Here is a 17,693-nt window from a genome sequence, read left to right on the forward strand (position 1 = left end):
TAGCTAAAAATCAACAGGAAATATATTTAATCAGGAAACTGGAAGAATTCCTATTAAGATAATAATTCAGAATATTCGCTATCATTATTTTAATTGGCTATATAATCTAGACATATAATAAATATAAAACTTTATGAAAATAAAATAAAAACTGTGGATATTGGTGAGAAAGAAATCTAGAATTTGTGGATAATAAAATTTTACGTAATTAATTTTCAAAGGATAAAACAAAAAATTATCTAGATCCATGAATTGAATGCTCAATAAAGCTGCTAATATGGATATATAATTTGATATTTACAAAAACTGCATATATGTATATATATATAATTTACATATTGATATGGTTTTCCTGTGTCCCCACCTAAATCTTATCTTGAATTGTAACTCCCACAATTCCCACGTGTCGTGGGAGGAACCTGGTGGGAAGTGGTCAAATCATGGAGGTGGGTCTTTCCTGTGCTGTTTTCATGATAGTTAATGAGTCTCATGAAATCTGATGGTTTTTTAAAGAGGAGTTCCCTGCACAAGCTCTCTCTCTTTGCCTGCCCACATCCAGGTAAGAAATGACTTGCTCCTCCTTGCCTTCTGCCATGATTGTTCCTCCGCAGCCTCCCCAGCCATGTAGAACTAGAACTGTAAGTCCATTAAACCTCTTTCTGTGGTTAATTCCCCAGTCTTGGGTATGTCTTTATCAGCAGCGTGAAAACGGACATATATATTTAAGAATCTAGGGAATCTGTCATTTTTTTTTCCTTTACATCCACAGCATTGATCAGTTAGAAATGTTGGAGGAAAACATTCTTATTCAAAATAGTAACAAAATACAAAATGTCTAGGTATATCCTGATTCAGAAATTTGAGGAAGTTATACAAAGAAAAATATAAACATTTGCTCAAAAATTAAAAAATGCATGACAATAAATTTGAAAACCATAGCTCTAGATAAACAAATGTACACATTTAAATTCCATTAGAACCCTATTTTAATTATCAGAAAACTTATACAGTCATTATAAAATTTACCTGGAAACACACACAGTATGTGACTAAGGACAGTAAGAACAAGAAAGGGCTAAAGAGGATGATCAAACAGTAATTAGCAATGTAATACAGCATAAGTCCTGAAAGATGAATCGGTGAATGTAACACTAATTATCTCTACCATAAACAATTGCCCACTGTGTGGCAGGCAGTGCAACAGGGAGGTGCTACATGCACATAATATTATACCTGCTCAATATGAGTCAGATACTAGCACGCCCACTTCATACCTGGAAACTGGTGTCAGATAAGCTAATTTATTAAAAGTACCATAATTAGTAATCTGAAAATTTATGATTCAGAAGGAGTCATTACACAATGAAGATGCTAATCAAAGAGAATGATTACCTGATTTTCAATGTTCTAGACCATATCTCCAGAGACCTAATTGTGGTTTGCTTTTTATAATGGAGGAATATGAGATTACCTGTTGTATGCTTATGTCGAAACTTTTTCTTTAAGCTAGTTTGAGTGAGTTTTAATCCCTCGTAGTAAAAGTTTCTCTAAAGTAGATACCAATGTCCAGTATTTTTCTTAAATATCGTCCAAGACACCCATTCCATAACACATTATAAATTAATATTAAAGACAATGTTACAATTGGTGTATATATATATATATATGATTATATATATATGATTCAAGTGGTGTATCATTGACAACTGGTAATTCATTGGAAAAAATCAATAATATCCCCATGTCACATTTCACTGCAAAATCATATTGTTTAGAGAATGAATTCATAAAATTTAAAGGAGAATAAGATATTTAAATATATCTTTAATATAATTGTAAGAAATTATAGGTAGTGATACAATATTTAAGCTTGAAAATATAAAAACAAACACAGAAGAAAATATAAATGGATTCTATTACTGAAAATGTGAGTATTCCACATCACATATCATACAGAAAATATAATATCAAAGAACTAACTAAAAATATTATATGACCTAATGTTATATGAGCTAATACACTGTCATATATAAAGGATTTATACAAATTGATAAGGAAAACACATATAAAATTTGAAATAAAATTTAAAAAATAAATTAACAGTTCACTAAAACACAGCAAATAAAGTGGTTAGAATGTCAAATAATGTCGATAACAAAAGACATGTCAATGAAACTGACTATTTTTACCTATTATATCAGTAATGATTTTTTTAAAAAAAAATTCCTCTACCTACCAGTCATTATCTTGAATTTCTTCTATGCATATAATTTGGCAAAAAATTTTGGCAATAATTTATCAAACAGTTTAAGTGTATGGATCCAGTAATTCTACTTTTTAGTAATACATTCTAAGAATATAAACCTCTTTCTAGACAAAAGTAAAAGTTAAACATATTCATAATCATATCAACCTAAGTGCCCATCAATGATAGACTGGAAGAAAATGTGGCACATATACACCATGGAATACTATGTAGTCATAAAAAGAATGAGTTCATGTCCTTTGCAGGGACATGGATGAAGCTGGAAATCATCATCCTCAGCAAACTAACACAGGAACAGAAAACCAAACACCATATATTCTCATTCATAAGGGGGAGTTGAACAATGAGAACATATAGACACAGGGAGAGGAACATCACATACCAGGGCCTGTCCAGGGGTGGGGGCTAAGTTGGGGGAGGGCATTAGGACAAATACCTAATGCACACGGGGCTTAAAACCTAGATGATGGGTCGATGGGTGCAGCAAACCACCATGGCACATGCATACCTATGTAACAAACCTGCACATTCAGCACATGTATCCCAGAACTTAAAATAAATTTTAAAAAAAGAAAAAGAAAGAGAGAGAAAAAAAGAAAAGAAAGAAGAAAGAAAGAAAAGAAAGAAAGAAAGAAAGAGAGAAAGAAAGAAAGAAAAAGAAAGAGAAAGAAAGAAAGAAAGAAAGAAAGAAAGAAAGAAAGAAAGAAAGAAAGAAAGAAAGAAAATAAATAGGAGACTTCAGAGAAAATAACAGATAAGAATCAGGCCTAACTTGCAGCTCGCACCTGGACAGACAGAGCAGCAGGTGGAGCTAAGCTGTGGGGACACAAAACCGTAAGAATGACACAATTGTCTCTGGGGACTTAGGGGAAAGGGTGGGAGTGGGTTGAGGGATAAAAGACTACACATTAGATACAGTGTACACTGCTCGGGTGATGGGTGCACCATAAATCACCACAAAAGAACTTATTCATGTAACCAAACACAATCTGTTCCCCAAAACTTATTGAAATAAAAAAAAAGTAAAATAAAATAAATGAATATTGAAATCAACATCTAAAAGTCAGGTGAAAGTTAAATAGTATGCCCTATATATACCTGACGAATATTATAAACTTAAAAGTTATATTTAGGATAGTTTTATTACTAGTAGTAATGTTATAACAATATAATAAAAGCACACAAAATTGGATATACAAAATAAATAAGCTATATAAAAAACTTGAGTTTTTATGAATAGTTTTAAAAAGGTTGATGATGATTATTTCTTCATTTTTTATGATTTTTAATACTTAATTTTTTCTCCTATAAGCATGACTTAATTTATGACAAAATTAGAAAACAAGCACAATTTTATAATAAAAATTTATTAAGCATTAATTTAGCAAAAATATGAGATTGATTTTAGCCTGGTATTTGAAAAGGTGGACAGCTGAGCAGTTTGGTATAAAAATATTCTTAATCAAAAATTGACCTTTTCTAATAGCAGATTCATAGACACCATAATGCCTTCATTTTCCTAGAGAAAGTAGAAGAAAAGAACATGAGTAATCTGGCTATTATCGGTAAGATGTAAATATAACTAATGTCTACTGTGAGAAATACTTTTACAAAAGGGCTACGGATCTGTCATCCCCAAATGGGAAGACCTGTACTAGGGTCTCATTGCCTCAGCATAGATTTAGCAGCTAGTGGGACATATGGTACAGGAAAGCCTCATCACAAAGAGAGGAGAACATGACTCACAAAAACTGACTTTTGGGTGAAGAGAGACAAACATTGGCTATACATCACATTTCCAATGACTTTACTTTCTGCATACATCAGAATCCAATATTCCCCATTCTCTGAGTAGTTCCTTGAGGGAAATTAGACATAAAGGATTTTCTAGCTGACCACTATTGGGCTACCATTAGTTATACAACCATTGTACTATGACTGATGTCATATAAAACCAGGGTTTCGCTGGGGGTCACTAAGAAAAGGCAAATAACACGAGCCTCTATAACTAGTGGGCAGCTGACATGCCATCATTATTCTCCATTCTATCCAGACTTTCTGAATAGACTAAGCAGGGAGCACCCAAATCCACTTCTAGAATATATTTACCTGAGTTGCTTCTTATGAGTTTTAATTCCCAGGAAAGAGATAGAAATATCGTGTCATGGATAGTCTTTCAATGGTGGGCAGCTGGGTCAGTATATTTGGGGTCTCAAATGAATGTTGAACCTAAAATGGTAAAGAAAGCCTTTAGAGATGTTCTAAAAGGAAAACCTGACTCAGGAGTGAGAAAAGTCATGGTGTGTATTAAGGTTGTAGCTAAGTAATGTAAACAGAAGATATTTTTAGCTTTTCCTTAGGTATAGCACATTCACAAATGAATTGTTACTCTAAAAAGAATTCCCTGGGTGAACAAAGCTATCAGAGTCAGGTTATTGGGAAAACCCACAATGGTTCTATGTAGCATTTTGGAAGACCCCATCTTTGAATAAACTTGGAGTACAGGAAGGATTGTCAAGATGAATTAGAGCTTTGGGATTTCTTATAAAAATTCACAAATGGTTCTCCAAAGTTTTCTGGGGCATAACATTGAAAATAAAAGAAGACCCTACCTTTTGAAAAATTTCCTCTAGATGATGACTCCAAGAATACTCTCTGAAGTAGTAGATAATTTGGGAAATGAAGACAGAGCCATTTGTTTCATGTCTCCAAGAAACATTATCTGCAAATAAAAGGCATCAAAATATTGGAGGATGTGATCTTTTATACATGTGGAAGACTCCTGGAGACATAACTTTGGGAAAAAAAATCTGATTTTGTTTCTTTGGAGAAGAGAGGGAAACCAATGCTAAATAAAGATGGACCTCCAACTTCCATACCAGGCCCAGAAAAAGCCATCATGGACCTTCCTCACTCATAAATCACCTTGATTTTCTAGTAGGCTAGACCGAAGTGATATCCTCTGGGTTTGCAAGTAGTGGAAAAGAGTGTAAGTCCTTTCAGCACTAACTACATAACAGAAAAATAATACAGCCTTGACATTCCTTGATTCTGGGAATGTCATCCTGAGTTGTTTCATACTATATTTTTTTTGCACTTTTTGTTATGTTGTATAAAAATATTTTCAAGGACTGCTTCTGTTTACCATTTCAAGATGACCAAGTTGCTCCTATAATTTAGAAAAAAAGGCAATACTTCTCTAACTACTACTTTATTTGCCGCCAGCTGCTGATTTCTTCTTACTTTTTAAAGTCAAAATTCCAATTCGGTCTATATTCACCATTCCATTTCCCTTATCCTGCTCACTCCTATCAGGCTTCTCCTTCCTATACCTAACATCAGCTTTGCCAAATGGCTTTCCCCAAGGTAACCATTACCTCCAAGTTACTAAATCGAATAGTCATTCATCAAGCCTCACCTTCACCTGATCTTTCATTCACATTAAAGTCTGACAACGCATACTCCTTGTGTACTTTCTTATTCTCTGATTCTACTTTGTGAGTCAAATTTGCTGGTTCCTATTTCTCTAATATTGAACTCTAGGGTAATTTTAACCTCCATTTCAAGGCCTCTTCTCATGCGATTCTCAATTCTTAGATGATTTCATCCATTTTTAAGATATTAAATATTATCCTTAGGGCAGCATCTCTCAAAATTTTATCCTGAATGCAAATCTCTCCTCTGAAATATACAACTGTGCCACTCTCTACTCTTCATTTCATCTTAAAATATGCCAAAGCACTTCAAAACTTACTGCAAAACTCACGTTTTAATTGATGCCCCACCATTTACTTGCATGCTGGAGTCACTTCTATCACACCTTCTTGTTCACCTGACATATATTCACCAAACCACTGGGTGGTTAGTCATATTATTTTTGTATACTAATTGTTTCTTAGATACAACTTATTACATCCCAAGACTATCAGTATCATCTATGGCTTGCAATATTGTGCTAGCATTTAACCTGTCCTCATGTATCGACTCTTGCTGTACTATAATTTATTCCACACTGAACCTCCAGAATGGTCTTCAAAAACAAAAATCTTATCATTTAATTGCTTACAGCCTACTAGAATTTCCTGTTACTATTAGTATGAAGGACCATGTAAGGCCTCAGGTGTTTCAGTGCCTGCCTCACTCTCCAGCCTCTCCACTAGCATCTCTCCTGATGCTGTGTTCCAGCCACTCAGCCTCCTCTCCTAAGCTCCTTTTTTGTCTGTAAGTTCTCCATATGCACTGCCTTTCCTGACTAAAAAGTTCTGCTCTTACCCTTCATTTGTTAACTCCTTCATTTCTCAAATGTGAACACATATTTTTTAAGGCTTTTACCAGAGTTGACAATTATTATTTATTCTTCTTATATTGTAACTGTGTTTTTCCCACAGTTAGTGCCTGCCTTTCTGACTGCAAACTCCATGAAGTTCAGTAACCATACCTGCTTTAATTGTGCATCCTATGTCCTGCACCAAGCCCAGGCCTAGCACACAATTACATGTAAAAGAAAGAAGGAAAGAAGGAAGGAAGGGAGTAAGGAAGGGAGGAAGGAAAAGAGAGAAAGAGAGAGAGAGAGAGAGAAAGAAAGAGGGAAAGAGAAAGAAAAGAAAGAAAGAAAGAGAGAGAGAGAGGGAGGGAGGGAGGGATCGAGAGAGGGAGGGAGGGAGGAAGAAAGGAAGGAAGGAAGGAAGAAAGGAAGGAGAAAGAAACAATTTTGCATATTATATTGTATTTCCCAAACTAAATTAAGTATACTTTCAAAATTTGTACCAGGCCTTATATACCTCTTTAACTTCCTTCAACAGCTGTAAGTGTAGAACTTATTATTCAAATAAAACTTATTAAAACTCGAATACATTACATGAATAGAAGGGAAGCTACTCTAGTTATTTATTCCCCAGGCTGGACTCAGAGTGTCCTCTAGTCCCTCAGTGCTCACATGCAGCCACAAACAACAGCCCTAATCACAACAAAGCTTTTAAGAAAGGCAGAAAGTCAGGCCCCACCCCAGACCTACTGAATAAGAAATCTACTGAATAAGCAAACTACTGAATAAGAAATCAAGTGATTTCTATGTTGATTAAAATTTGAAATCCCTAAATTGAGCATTTAGAACTGTGAACTGTGCAAAGGAGGTATTTAAAAATTGCTCCTGTTCTCCAAATCATTGATAGAATAATATTGTGGATGATCGTTAAAGAGATTTCCTGCAATTCTGACCATGAGCGGTCAAGAATATTCTCTATTTTTCCATTGTATTATGACTTTCCTGCCAAAGGACTGATTTTTTATTCAGTGACTTCACTATCCTAAATTAGTTAACATTTAGGCATTTAAATGTTAACTAGTTTCCTGAAACTAGATTAATAATAATAGGTCAAGAGTTACTGGGATGTGTGGAGCAAGTATAATGGTTTTAGTGGTTGGCTTCTTTAATTGCTGGGAAGTGGCTGTGGAGCTACACTGTGAGAAAATGATACCTTTCTGTGCCATTGCTACATTCTAAAAACAAAATCAAATAATGCCTCACTTTTTGTAGTTAGATTATTCCAAGTCTTGATGCTCACCAAAGTCCTTCCAAAGTCCTGTTAACTTTGAACGTTTCTTCCCAAATCAAGATTTATAGCTTTCTAATTATGAAAGTCTCAGCATTTTAAATCTTTTCTCCACCTAAAATATCCTGGTAATTAGAGAAGAAATGCTCTTTTCGGTGATAAGATATGATCATAGCCAAGCCTACTATCTAGAAACCTACTAAGAAATTTAGAAATTATTCTCTCTGAAATCACTTACGTGGTGTGGAAGATTTGAAAGCAATGAAGTCCTTTTCCACATGAGCCTTTGTAACAGCATCATTACAGATGTTACCTTGCAAGAGCCGACCATGAGTATCTGCACTGGCTTTTCCACTGTCAGTGGTGAACCAAACAATCCCAGCACCATCTGGGAGAGACATTATGTCTAATTAAAGAAGAGATATTTATAAATACACACACATACACATACACACACACATACACATATGCACACACATACTCATATGCACAAACATCCACATATGCACACACATACACATACACACGCACATACACATATGCATAGACATACACACAAATGCACACACATATTTACACACATACACATACATATGCACACACATACACACATATGCATACACACATACACACATACGCATATACATATGCATACACACAGACTCTCTCTTTTACACTGATATCTTTACTTAAGTATATTTTATCATGGCATTACTTAAAAATGCAAGTACCTTACTACTAGAAATACCGCCTCACTTACTGGGAACAAAACAGACCCCACTTGAGTTTAGAACAACCATGTTGACAACATAGTCCCAGATGATTGGGATGTTTCCAATCATTGTACTTATAGTTTCTTTAAAAAATGGTAGGGACTTAATACAATTTCGAAGTGCACTGGACCTAGTAGTACTGAAATGTTGTTTCTCTTGCCCATCCCTAAGAAAATGAACACCAGGCTAATTTTTAAAAGTGCACAGCCACTCCCTGGGGTCTCAAAATCAAGATTTACAGCTTTCTAATTGGGGACTCACTGCCTCGGCAGGCTTGCATGATGATGACCTTGGGTTTGTCTTTCAGACTCTGGCAGTTACGGTTGTTGAAAATTTCAAAGATGGTGTCATCGTGAAGAACATCTGGCTCTTGATCCCAGTGCTTGGTCCCACAGATTCCATTCAGGATGCTATGTGACATAAACACCAGGAATGTGCTGTCTGAGGACTGGTGCTCTGGGTGAGCAGCAAACTGCCTTAGTGCTGTTTCCATTTCCTGAAAGAGACCCTTGAGTCACTATCGAGGAAGTCTCCATGTGTATGTAGTTTGTAATCAAATAATGGGTAGGGTTCACAAAAAGGAGCCAGCACTGAGGAATCAGATGGTTTAGACTGAATAGGATTATAAGATAAACAGTGTTCTGACATAAAACTAGAAAATTTAGCTGTATAGAATATTAAAGTTAGTAGGGTTTTTATGTAGTATCTTGCCCAGTGGTTTTTAGTAAAACCTTAGGTTTCTGAAGATGCTGGGAGATGGAATAAAATGAAGGCCAAGTGAGATGACAATACACCAATAGGACCATTTTGCTATAATATGTTTAATGATGGAACTCTTGTAAGTTTTTATTTAAAAGATAAAACTGACAAATATTAAAAATATGAAATTCATTCACTATGGAGCAGCAGAAAGTTAGTTTAAAATGGTCTCTCTAAAGTTTTGCAAAATAGAGCTAGAAACACAACTGTTTCATTACATATTTGTGTGTGTGTGATTTGTTCCCCCTATACCTGCCTTTACATTAAGACACTTGCTCATGCCATTGTAAAAATCTCACAAGATAATTCTGTAGGTATCAGACATTTCAGGGTGCAGAGCTTTTGTCTTATGCAGACCATCAAGTAGTAGCTGTCTCCCAGATTGTGAACATCGAAAGACCCAATATTTTTACTAAAACTCTGCTACGTAGAATTTCTGTAAATACACACACACACACACACACACATACGCATACTCATATGCTATAAGACTGTGCATTAGAGAAGGCTAAAATCCAGGGGATCCTATTCTGGAGAAAATATAATTCCTATAATATCATACATCTTGCTCTTTCAGCTGCCAATTAAGAGGTAAGAGGTTGAAAAGTGTCTAAAGGTGGAGGTGGAGGGGAAGCAGCTTGTTCTTCTCTCTGGAGCCATTACCTGAGCTGTGAGATTCTCTTTTATAACCACTGAGTATCCAAGGTTTTCAAGTAGATCTCACATCCCCAAAAGGTCAAGTTCAGAACCATTTCGATTATGAAGATAGTTGAATTCTTTGTTGCGGATGTTGAGGCCAGGCATGTTCGCCTCTCTTTCTCCATCACTGGATATATCTGCAATTAATACACACAGAATGACTTTCCCCAGGACTTTTCTCTTTTGCCTGCAAAGTTCATACACAACAGGCCAATATAAATATAGAGTAAGTGACACAAAGTTTCTGCATGAAAATACACCCTCGTGAGGAAAGAGGCAGAAAACCAGACTGAAAGCATGTATGTGGTGTAAGTGTTCACTGTATGAAGTTGGCTTAAGTTAGGTGGTGGAGAGTTTAGACTGTGTCCCAAAATAAGATGGAAGAAACAGAAAATGTAATGTGAAGACCAATTGGTTAGATAATTTCCTGATCTTAAGGCCTTTGTGACGAGAGCTAAACCATTCCAGTAAGTCCCCAGTGTCTTGTCTGAATGAGTAATCTTGTGTCTCCGTATTTCAAAGCATATCACCTCATCTGCCCTTTTTGTCTTTAGTTCATGGAAGTGAGCATGAGGACAAAGCTTTAACTTGCCACTGGGTTGGGCACCCTGGATTTCCAGAAAAGCTGAAAGAGAGAAAAAAATTCTGTGGCATAGTAAGCAGTAATGTCTGCTGCCTTGCAACACTGCAGATCCTTTTGCTAGGCTCTCATTCCTCAAAACTGCTTACTGCCAGTCCATGAAAAAGTTTCATAAAATGAGAAAATTGCTTCATATTTAAAATGCCTAAAGCAAAAATATTGAGTACATCCCTATTTTCCTTCTGCTTCTTACTGACCTGGTTATCAATTTGTGTGTTTTTGTTAGTGCTCACAGCATGAACTTATCTTTCAGACCCAACACATTAGCATCGTATAAACACAGAAACTAAGATTCAGAAGGAAGTGTAATGTTTATCTAGCCTAGTGGAATCAGTACTCAGCTATTTCATGTCACTTGAAATATCCCTTCTTTATTATTACCATTCTCTGAGACATCTCCCCTTTCATGGAACTCAAAACATTCCAAGGCATTCTTGAACAGTTATGTGTATTACAATCTGTGTACCTTCTAGGTATTGATAGGTATTTCCCACCTCAGAATCATACAGAAAACATTTAATTCATTTCCCTGTAAAAGCCCATGAATTCTTCCATGACCAACATGTCTTTCCCTATTTTTTCATTCTTACATGAAAATACCTTCAACATAAACAACTATTGCATTGTACTTTAATTGTGTTTACTGTACTATAACCTTAATTAGGATAGAAAAGGTGGTCTTCTATCTTTGTATTTCCAGTATATTAGAATAGTATCTACCAAGATTGCTAGTTTATAAATTCTGTTAGTGAATAGTTATCCTCAAATACTTGAAAATAGCTACAAGGTATCCCCTGGTTCTTTGTTCCCTTAGGGCAACAAACCTTCTATTTCTTTTCATAGTTTTGGGTAAGAAATATTTCATCTTTTAACCACCAAATCCATTAATTTGCCTACATCTCTGCTCACCTCCTCTACTTTCTCTTTGGCTACATAAAACATGTGTCCTTCCTCCTATCTAAGATCACCGCCTCTACCTGAGCTCTCAAATCCATCCCCTCCCACCAACAAGGGTTTTTCTCAGGTATTTATTCAGCTTCAGGTTCTATGACATCATTCATTCTCTTCCTCTTTTCCCACAGACTTATTCCTATTGACAGCAGCATGACTTAATATATATCATTTTTTTAAAAAAAACCTTCCTGTTTCCTTGCCAATTATTGGCCCATATCACTACTTTACTTCTCTACACAATGCCTGAAAATCATTTTGTTTTTTGCTATTTCCAATTTTTCTGTCTTATGATTTTTGTATGCAATCCAATCCAGCTGTTATCCTCAATCCTTAAATAAAATATAGTTATCAAACTACCACTGATTATATGTTGATTTCTTAGCATTCACATGGCATTCTCTAGGCTTCTGTAATGCTGCATTTTCCAGCCATTCTTCCTAACTCTGTCTGTCTTAGTTGTTGGTTCTTCCTCTTCCACAATGCCTCCAAAAGTTGTGCTTTTCTATGCCAGACACTCTGTTATTCTCTATCAATGCTCTTTCCCATGTGGCATCTTCCAGTCTCAATATCTTAAAAACTATCTACATACTGACGAATCTCCAGATTTTTCCCAGTCCAGATTTCTCTGTGAGCCCATCCATTTGCCTATTCAACATCCACCACTGGAGGTACCACATGTTCCAAAGTAAGCATACAAAACAGGACCCTGATATTGTGCATTCCTTCAAATCTGTGTCCCCTGCACACCTGTTTTCTCTGACTCAGTAAATGGCACCATACACCCCAGTTGCCAAGCCAAAAACCTAGTCATTATTAATTCTTTCCTTTCTTTCACATCCCATATCCAATCCATTAGTCAATTTGCATTGATTCTGCTGCCAAAACTAGGTCTCAAATTTAACAACTTTTCATCAGCTCTATTGCCATAAACCCAGTCTAAAAGCTATTGTTTTTCTAACTGAAATATTTAAACCGCTTTCAACTGGCCTTTGTGATGCGACGCTTATCCTATCACTCCTCGTTTAACAGCTTCTAAGGTAGTGTAAATGAAGGCAGGATGCATCATTTATCATTTTTCTGCTGTAGACATTAGGACATGCCCTTGCAGTTACAACCTACTTGGCTCAATTAGCATGTAATGATTTCAAAATTGGCAGTGAAATTAAAGGGAGAATTGAGAGTACGGAGGGAAGAAAGTAAAAGGAAAGAAGGAGAAAAAGAACAGAGGAAAAAAAGAGAGAAGGAAAAAACAGAAACAAGAAAAAGAATGTCAATGGGAAAGAAAATAAAACAGATGATAAGAAAGGAAAAATGAAAGAGATGGAGAAAGAAAAGTGGGAGATTAAAAGCTCCTTTATTTTTTAAAAAACTCTCAGTTGGAAACACCTTATTTACATTTTGGTAAAAGGGAGTACCAAGTTCTTACTCAGGGCAATTTATCATATGTCATATTACTTCTGCTTTTTAATGTCAACTTATTTTATGTAAACTAAGATAAAACTTAGCTTCCATAAAAACATTCTTTAATACTCACACAAGTTTAAGCACTTGTTTTAGAAATAGATGTTAACTGTAATAGATGGCCAGGAAGAACAGAGGCTATGCAACACTCCTGGAATTTGTAAGGATCCTCGACTGCTAATAAACAGTTGTCTAAAAAAGATTCCAAAAAAAGAAAAAAAAAAGCAAAAACAAAACCCTGCAACGTTTTATATTGCAAATAAAATCCCGGCCTGTCTCTTTAATAGCTCCATTTATACTCCCTCTAATTTCCTACTCTCCAGTCAGATTGGCTGTGACCCTCTTACACAGCAAGAGCATTACTGTCTCAGGGTCCTTGCTCTTGTTTCCCCTTTCTAGAGAACACTTTTGTTTCAGAGTTTGGCACAACTCCTTCCCCACAGTTCAAGTATGTACTGAAATGCCACCTCTGGGGAGAAGTTATGGCTAAACATCCTGGCTCACTGGCCTTTTCTTGATGCATATCCAAGAATTGGGAATATACTTATTTATGTATTACAGTCTGGAGTAGGAATCAGCAAACCATGGCCTATGGGTCAGATTCAGCCCAACACCCAGTTTTATAAATAATGTTATACTGGGATACACATCAACACACCCATCATGCACTTATGGTCTATTGCTGTTTGTGAGCTACAATAGATGATTTGAGTCATGACAGGGGCCACATGGTCCAGAAAGATTAAAATATTAATTATCTTTCAAAGAAAAAGTGTAGCAACCCATGTTCCAGAGAGAAGGAAACATCTATACCCCACTGACCCATGAATTCCCTATTCCTTCCTTAAATAGAAATCTAGATTTCCAGACATTTCTTTCTGGGGCAAAGCCACAGCTAAGCAAAAGATAATAGATATCCCCTATTGTACATTCTGTATCTGGGAATGACTCTAACGTCCACTTTGTGCAACCAGAGTAGCCCAGAATAGCTAAAGGCTATCACTGAATTTAATGTATCCAACACCATTCCTTTATTTAACAGATATTTACTGAGCACCTATTATGTTTCAGGTATCATTTCCATGTGTTTGGGATATATTCATGAACAAAGCAGACAAAGACCCCCCACATGGTGGAGTCTACATTTCAGCAGAGGGAGACATAATAATATAATGAATAAGTAAATTGTATGGAGTGATATGGTGAGTATTGTTAAAGAAAAAAGTATACAGCAGTGTAAAAGTAATTGGGGATGATCAAGGTATTTTGTGACATTAAATAAGATAGACAGGAGGTCAGGCCCAGTGACTCATGCCTGTAATCCCAGCACTTTGGGAGGCTGAGACAGGAGGATCACCTGAGATCAGCAGTTTGAGACCAGTCTGGGCAACATGGTGAAACCCTGTGTCTACTAAAAAATAAATAAATAAATAAATAAATAAATAAATAAATAAATAAATAAATAAATAAAATTAGCCAGGCATGGTGGAGGATGCCCATAAAATCAGCTACTTAGGAGGATGAGACAGAAGAATTGCTTGAACTGGGGAGGTGGAGATTGCAATGAGTTAAGATTGCACCATTGCACTCCATCCAGCCTGGATGACAACAGCAAGCAAAATACTCTGTCTTAAAAAAAAAAGAAAAAAAAAAAAAGATTGGTGAAGAAGGTCCTAAGATGGGCATAGTTTATTCTCCACTTGGAGAAAGGAAAAATAAAGAAGACAAAAACTGAATAAGAAGAGTAGAGAAAGAATAAGAATGAATTACTAGCTGTTAGCCCCACAATACTCACCTGAACTCAGCTGTTTTTTGGAATTCCACAGGTGTTCCCTAAATATTTTGCCTGCAATTTGAGCTGTCTCAGTGATATCATCAACCAGGTTTTCAGCATTGCTCACCACAAACTTTAGACATTTTCCTATAAGGTGTATCTCATCTGTATTTAACACATTATTTTCCATCAAATCATCAAAAATGCCATCTAGAAAGGTCTTGATCAGCAACTTCACCATGTGGACCAGAACACCGTTGGATGGTTTCTCATCTGTGAAAATGATAGAATCTTAGATATGGACAGAACTTTAGATCCCCATTCTAGGGTAGTGGTTCCCAAATTTTAACGTGCATAAGAATCACCTAGAAAGCTTAGTAAGCAGAGCTTCCTGCATCCTAGTCCAAATAATTTTTATTTGATAGGTGAGAATGGGCCCATGAATTTTCATTTATAACAATTTCTCAGGTGATGCCAAAGCCTCTGGTGCAAGGACCACACGTGGAGAAGCTCCTGTCTTGTTCAATTCTCTCCATTTTCATAGATGGTGAAATAGATTCAGGGAAGCAAAGTGAATTCACTAAGGAACTTAGTGACAGCTGACTCAGTTTAGTCTTTACATCTCCTACGATCTCTTCATTTTCTTTCACTTTTATCAATAACTAGTTTGAAAAGACATTACATTCAATATGTGTAGCATAAATGCATTCATCTGTAAAATAACACCTTTTTTGTTTCCCTTATCAAGGCTGGCAGGGAAGCTCGGTATGCGCAGATTGAGCACACATGTTGTAGCTGACCCATTTGCTGCTGTAATTGAAAGTTCACACAGAGAGCAGAAATGTGGAGGAAATGCAAGTTACCTGTTCAACCGCCTGGCTTCTCACCCTCACCGTAACAGAACACTTATAAAATGGGTGAGAATTTCGGGTCAGTATGAGTTAAAAGAAGAGTCTAAAATCAAAGGAAAAGTTTAAGAACAGAAATCCAGGTGTTTCTACATTTCTCTTTCATTTGAGAAGTTGTAACATATTAATGAAGACACTTGGTTTGCATTTTTAGTGCTGTGCCGGAAGCTGACATATCTCCCTCCATACCCAGAGTAAAATAGTTAGCTTTTGGGAGACCCCCTCCACTCTGCCTTCTTCTTTCCCTTGAATATAACGTTCTCAAAGGACAGCCATAAACAACAGAAAAACTGAAGCCACTCACCAGCCATGGCTTCTCCTGCTCCCCGGACAGGAAAAAGCTGTGAAAGCAAAAACAATTTCAACAGGCTTGCTCTCCTCTCAGTGGACCAGCTTGTTGATATTACCCTGAATGGAAAATTCCCAGTCCTCAAATTCTCTTTTTCTTTGCCAAGATAAAATTAGACTCTGATCTCGTGTATAACTGCTTTCCTTTGGAAAATAGGAAGCAGAAGGTGTTTTCTTCTTTTTGACATAACAAAGTGAACAGAATGAAATCATGTACACTTGCATGAGAACCCGTCTCTGTGTTCTGTTTTCCTGTCTATTTTTAACACTGTTAATAAATTAAGTTAAATCTCTGTTTGTCTGTCTGATGCCATCAGCCTCTAAATGGTCAGGAGTCTTTACTTCACTGATACTTACTCAACCCCGGAAGTGTGATTTTGGAAGTTAAGGGAAAGAGGCTAACTGAAGACTGCCAAATGGTGATACTCCCTTCACTATTTGAGAAACTCACATAAGTGATCTCTTTTCTTCTCTTTCCTGATCCACTCATTTTTAAATTGGGATGTTGTTTTTCCACAAGATCAATGTATTTTTGTTCATTAAATGAACAAGAGGCTCTTTCACTTATTTTTGAAACAGATATATGTGTGCCATTAAAATCAAACAACAGAAAAGTTTATAAAATGGAAAAATGTAGATTATTTAATTTCACATGGCAAGGTAATCACAACGATACGTTTAGCTTGTATCTGTGTGTAATATTTTAAATAATTTTACAAAACACTTAATGCAATACTGATCTTATCCATGGCTCTAATCAATGGCCTCCTAGCATTTTTTGGCCTTTACTTTATTCTGAACTGGCCTTATAGGTTGGTTTTGGCCAGCATGATGGAGCAGAGGGATCTGAAGGAGTTTCCAGTCTGAGTTTTACAAATCCTTGTGCCCTTCTTCCTCTTGAACACCTGAAGCTAAATGAGGATAAGCCTGGGCTAGATTGCTAGCTGAATAGAGACCTCATGTGGAGAAGAGCCCAGTCATCCCAGCCAAGGCCAACCTAGGCCAGCCTCCAGCCAAGTGTTTTCCCAACCTATGGGGTATCCCAGCCTTGTCAGCAGAGATGCCTACCCTACACACAGATGATCTCAGACACAATCCTAGCAGTGACAAAAAGAAACATTCAGCTGACTGGCCACCTTGTAATAATAATAAATGCTTCTTGTGTGAAGCCACTGTATTTTGGGGTGTTTTGATACTCAACAATAGATAACTAACAGACACATAATTACCTACAGATTGTTTTTTGTTTTTTCTATAGTGGCAGTATCTTAAAATTATATTATTGATAATTTGCTTTATTTAACTTCACAATGTGTGACAAACATTTTAAAAAATCAACACATGAAACACTATCTGATTTTTGATGGCTGTATACTATTTAAAATGTGGATAGATTACAATTTTTAAAAGTTTTGTCAGTAGTACAGAAAACACTACAATAAAAATCAGATTTTTATGCTTTTCATCTTTGGTCCCACAAACTAGGTGTAATTTCTCTGTTATTTGCTTTATTTTTTGCTAACAATCTTTGGAACACCCAGTGATGCCTGTTTTATCTA

General features: G+C 36.1%; 1 pseudogene across 9 annotated transcripts, besides 1 other annotated feature; it reads right to left on the reverse strand.

The window, feature by feature from the left end:
* On the reverse strand, window positions 969–16,143 carry CASP12 (caspase 12 (gene/pseudogene); annotated as a pseudogene). Of its 9 annotated transcripts, NR_034070.4 has the most exons (9): window positions 16,091–16,143; window positions 14,900–15,151; window positions 10,580–10,674; window positions 10,014–10,186; window positions 8,853–9,087; window positions 8,057–8,206; window positions 4,879–4,988; window positions 4,376–4,495; window positions 969–3,785 (listed from the first exon to the last, which is right to left on the reverse strand). The product of NR_034070.4 is annotated as a caspase 12 (gene/pseudogene), transcript variant 9 (transcript). The 9 variants fall into 9 exon arrangements; NR_034061.4 differs by lacking the exon at window positions 10,580–10,674; NR_034071.4 differs by lacking the exon at window positions 8,853–9,087.
* Window positions 12,375–12,903: an enhancer, noted in NCBI's record as "NANOG hESC enhancer chr11:104765419-104765947 (GRCh37/hg19 assembly coordinates)". NCBI's record gives its function as "activates a minimal SCP1, AML or CMV promoter by ChIP-STARR-seq in naive H9 embryonic stem cells {active_cell/tissue: H9 hESC(naive)}" and the evidence as "EXISTENCE:reporter gene assay evidence [ECO:0000049][PMID:30033119]".

The sequence above is a fragment of the Homo sapiens genome, chromosome 11 (assembly GCF_000001405.40).
Source record: "Homo sapiens chromosome 11, GRCh38.p14 Primary Assembly".
In the NCBI taxonomy this organism is placed as follows: Eukaryota; Metazoa; Chordata; class Mammalia; order Primates; family Hominidae; genus Homo; species Homo sapiens.